The 4,161-nt window shown below is 43.1% G+C and overlaps 2 pseudogenes across 1 annotated transcript; both read right to left on the bottom strand.

Moving 5' to 3' along the window:
* Positions 1–327: 327 nt before the first annotated feature.
* VENTXP1 (VENT homeobox pseudogene 1) lies at positions 328–3,043 on the bottom strand (annotated as a pseudogene). The gene has a single exon (NR_001559.2). The product of NR_001559.2 is annotated as a VENT homeobox pseudogene 1 (transcript).
* On the bottom strand, positions 2,866–3,471 carry VENTXP8 (VENTX pseudogene 8; annotated as a pseudogene).

The raw sequence follows: 4,161 nt of genomic DNA, 5'->3' as shown, positions 1-4,161 counted from the left end.
ATCTCGATAGTAACACAGTAACAACAACAACAACAGAAGACATCAGAGCAATGTGTTAAAAATGTAGTATAACTATGAATAAAGCATGTGCGAGGAAAATAAAAATATTTTCAGACAATCAAATATCTCAAAAATATACTTCCCATGCACTTTTTTTTACAGTAATTAACCAAAGGATACCCTCTAATAACATAAGCCAATAAGTGAGGAAAGAAGAAGAAATAGCAACATTATATAGGAAAATTTTAAAGAAAACTTACAAGATCGTGATTATGAGAGGGTACCAGGTAACAAGTGTGCAGCAGGCATAAATAGCACTAGTCCAGATGAATGCATGATGTTTATTCAATATCGATTTAACCAAAATTTTCATAACAATAGCAGGCATTGGAAAGAGGAAAAACATAGAACTGGCATCATGAAAGAGTTCATCTATAACTTACCAGAAGATGAAGTCAATCAGTGTAGTAACTGTAAGCACTCTTCATGTGTTATGTGTGCATGCACACAAGTATGTGTGTATATTTATCTACAGTTTTTAGGAGAGATGGATTTAAAACTGATTCATCACCACACTTCTGCTAAAACTTGAAGTTTGATAATAATTAACATTTATAAATCAAAATAGCTATATTTACATATTATATAAAACTATGGAGATATATAAATGCCAAATTAAGCAACTGAAAGATTCAAAAGTGTTTGCCCCCAGGATAGAAAAGTAAGACTGGGGAATGATGGGACAGTATCACTGTATTTTTATTTTAAGCTTGGTATTGCATTTAATTTGTCAAACTACACATGTCAATTATAAAATAAAGTTACTTTAAAATTAACAATACCAAACTTATTGATCTAGTTGATTTATTTTATTACCCTGTAATATATTTTAGGTATCTCTGAGCAAAAGGTATCGGCCTTTTCTACAGGTTTTCAAATGTTCATGTGAAAAAAATAATTACTACCAAGATACTTTATCTGCATGAAGACAAACAGAAATTTCCAAATGTCCAAAACAACAACAACACTAGTACATTTGCTGGTATATTATCTGATGCAAAGTGTTCATGCAATAAAGGTTCAAATGAATGAACAAGTAATGCTACTCTTTATTCACAGCCTTTACTAAAGATACAGAATACTTATGGTTTGATCATTGATTACGATTCAGTTCTACATGCCTTGAGAAAGTAGAAATAATGTGTATTGAGTGCCTAGCTACCAAACAATGCTTATGTAGTAAGATTCATTGCATTTAAACATGCATATTTATGAGGGCATGAAAAAGACACATTAAGATTCATTAATTCACTCATTTTTCAGAGAGCATACATTAAGTACCTTAGCAGACATTATTCTAAGATGAAAGGATGAAAAGGAAAGTAGGTCACAGTCCCTGCCTTCCAATGATTCATGGTATGTTTTTGAGCAACGAATAACTACACGACATTTTCTTTTACTTATACAAAATGATTCCATTATCCTTACTTCACATGTGACAAAATACACAGAGATTTAATAACCTGTCAACAGTCAAATAATTTTTAAGTGACAACATGAGGATTTAAACTTAAATTTACCTTACTCCAAAATTTGCTTTCAGCTACTGCAGATTACCTGTATTGTCCTCAGAAATAATTGTTTCAAAGACATCAATTGTTAGGAAATGTTCTAAGGTTAACTCTATGTTACCATTTAACATTATCAACAAGGTTAATACAATTAAGTACATATGCATAGGTCTGATCATTCTAGAAATCTAACACTGGTTGTTTTTTGCATGTTTCTATGAAGAAAAATGCCATTAATGCCAACAGTTAGAGCCTACCACAATTCTTGTACCCTTCATATTAGAAACACCATTAAGCAAAATTTCCATTTTCTAACTATTCTAACTATTCTAGAGTAGCTTAAATTGTAGAACTTAAAAACGTATTTGAGGTATGATACAACTATAATTTTTTTCCTTTCTTACCTGAGGTTGTATTATGAAAGCACATGCTGGTTGTAAACACTTCCAACAATGCAGAAATGAGCAAGGTGAAAGTGGAACTTGCTGTGGACACGGCCACAGGACCACGCTTTTGTTCTTGTTGGGATGCCTGGGTCGGTTTCACAGGTCGCCTCGCAGTCCTGCAGGCTGAACCCGTCTGTCTGGGCGCCCCGCGCTGCCTGCCTCCTGGGCACTCTGGGGCAACATGGATGGATGCCCGCTTGTCTACGGTTCGGTGCGTGCAGTCAGGAATCTGCACCAAGAATGGTCCGTCAATGAGGGAGAGTCCTCCCTGGGAGGGGCTTCCGTGCCTCCCATTCTGGGCACTTCTAGACTTTCTGCAGGAAGTGCTGTCCTTGAGTCATTCTGTTTTGTCCTGAGGCTGCTGCGAGGAGGGGGACAGGTGAACACATGCTGGAGGGTGGGGACATGCGGGACGGCTTCAGTCCAGGCACAGCCGCAGGTCCCCCGCTGCCCCGCTTTCCCTGGCCCGAGAAAGCAGCCCTTAGCAGGCTGCGGGCACAGTCCCGGCTCAAGCACAGCCTAGAGCGCACTGCAGGGCCCGAGCATCCCCGCCTTAATTTTCACCTTTGTTCCCTCCTGCTTTCCAGCTTTGGAGTCCTTGTTAAGAGGGACTCGAACCACAAGGTTATAAACACGACACCTGCATTCCCTTCCAATCCTTCATGGTTTTCTTTTTTACACACAAAGCTTACAACCTTTACTTTTTCCAAGTAGAAAACCAGTTTTTCCAACACTTTAAAAAACAAATATCCTTTTATCATATGCTGAAAGCCCTACCCATAACAAGCCCACTTCTGCGTTTGACTCTGTTCACTGACCCTTCATTTACTTCCTAAACTGACCCTTTTGGTAACTTTCAGTGAAGAGGTGGCTTTAATAAATATATTCTCCAGAAATCTCCAGAACCTTTGCGTGGGTCAGGGTGAGAGGTGCCGCCACGATGTAAACAGAACAGCTGAGTCCTCCGGGTAGGCGCCTGGTGTTAGCTGCACAGACCGCGTGTGTGGGAGGCATGGAGTCAGAGGCGCTTCCTCAAAATGCATCCCCCCGGTCTCCAGAAGAACACACAAGCCCCACGGCCCCCTGGAGAGGGCTGGTCCCAGCGTATGCACGCCACTTCCTGGGCTTGGGGAGTGGTACGCCGGCGGCGGAGGATGCCCGTAGCAGGAAGCCCACGCAGAGGCTAGGGCCTCTTGTTCCACTTGGCAGAGACCCCAGAAGGAGCCAGGGGGCAGCATCAGAGCCTGGGGCCTGGGCAGGGGTGTCCAAGGGCATAGCAGCTGCAGGCCATTGGCAAGGCCAGAAGACGGTGAGTGAAAAGCCGGGGGCGCGTGGAGAGACCCCGAGAAGGGGCTGTGCAGCTGGGAGTCCTGCATTTGCCGGCTCCAGAGGGCCCAGGTACTGGTGGTGCCGGAAGACGCCCTCCAAGGCGTCGACCTGCCCCATGGTGAAGGCAGCCACTGTCCTCTCCGGCGCAGGCCGATTTGAGGACCTAGCCTCCTTGATGCTGACCGCCTGACGGGGCTCCGGGTGCCGGATGTCTGGCCCGGGCCAGGGAGGCTCCCAGGGGAGACGTCGGCAGGCCTGGTGTAGGTCGGCCCCGAGCAGCTGCTCTGAGAGAATCAATCCATGGAGCCAAACCTGGAGGGCTGCTGCCGGCCGCGAGGTGGGGAGGAGGCGAGACGCATGGCGGTCAGCTGGGCCTTAGGGAAGGCCGGGCGGGGCTGGCCAGGTGCATTAAGTGACTAATGAAAGATCAGAGCTACTGTGAGAACAGTTTGGGGATTGAATCCACGCTTGCTAACACCCACTGCTAACTCCAGAGAGTGTGAAAAGAAATATTGAAGAATCACCGCCTAGACTGTTTTCAATATATCACTTGCTGGTTTTTATTTCCTAATGATTCTCTTATGAAGCCTTTTTCAAAATGACTGGCAAAAGCCAAAAAATATTCCATTAAAAATAGGTGTGTTTTGATAAATAGGAAAATAGTAGACATTCTAGAAAAGTAAGATGAGTGAAAGTGGATTCTTTTTAAAGTTGAATAAACTATGAATACTATGCAGCACTAAGAAACAATTAATTAGTTGCATATAGAGTCTAAGAATACATTTTAAAAAGGCCTTATTAGGCTGGGCACGATT

The sequence above is a fragment of the Homo sapiens genome, chromosome X, assembly GCF_000001405.40.
Source record: "Homo sapiens chromosome X, GRCh38.p14 Primary Assembly".
Lineage (NCBI taxonomy): Eukaryota > Metazoa > Chordata > Mammalia > Primates > Hominidae > Homo > Homo sapiens.
This window is presented reverse-complemented; position numbering and strand designations above follow the sequence as displayed.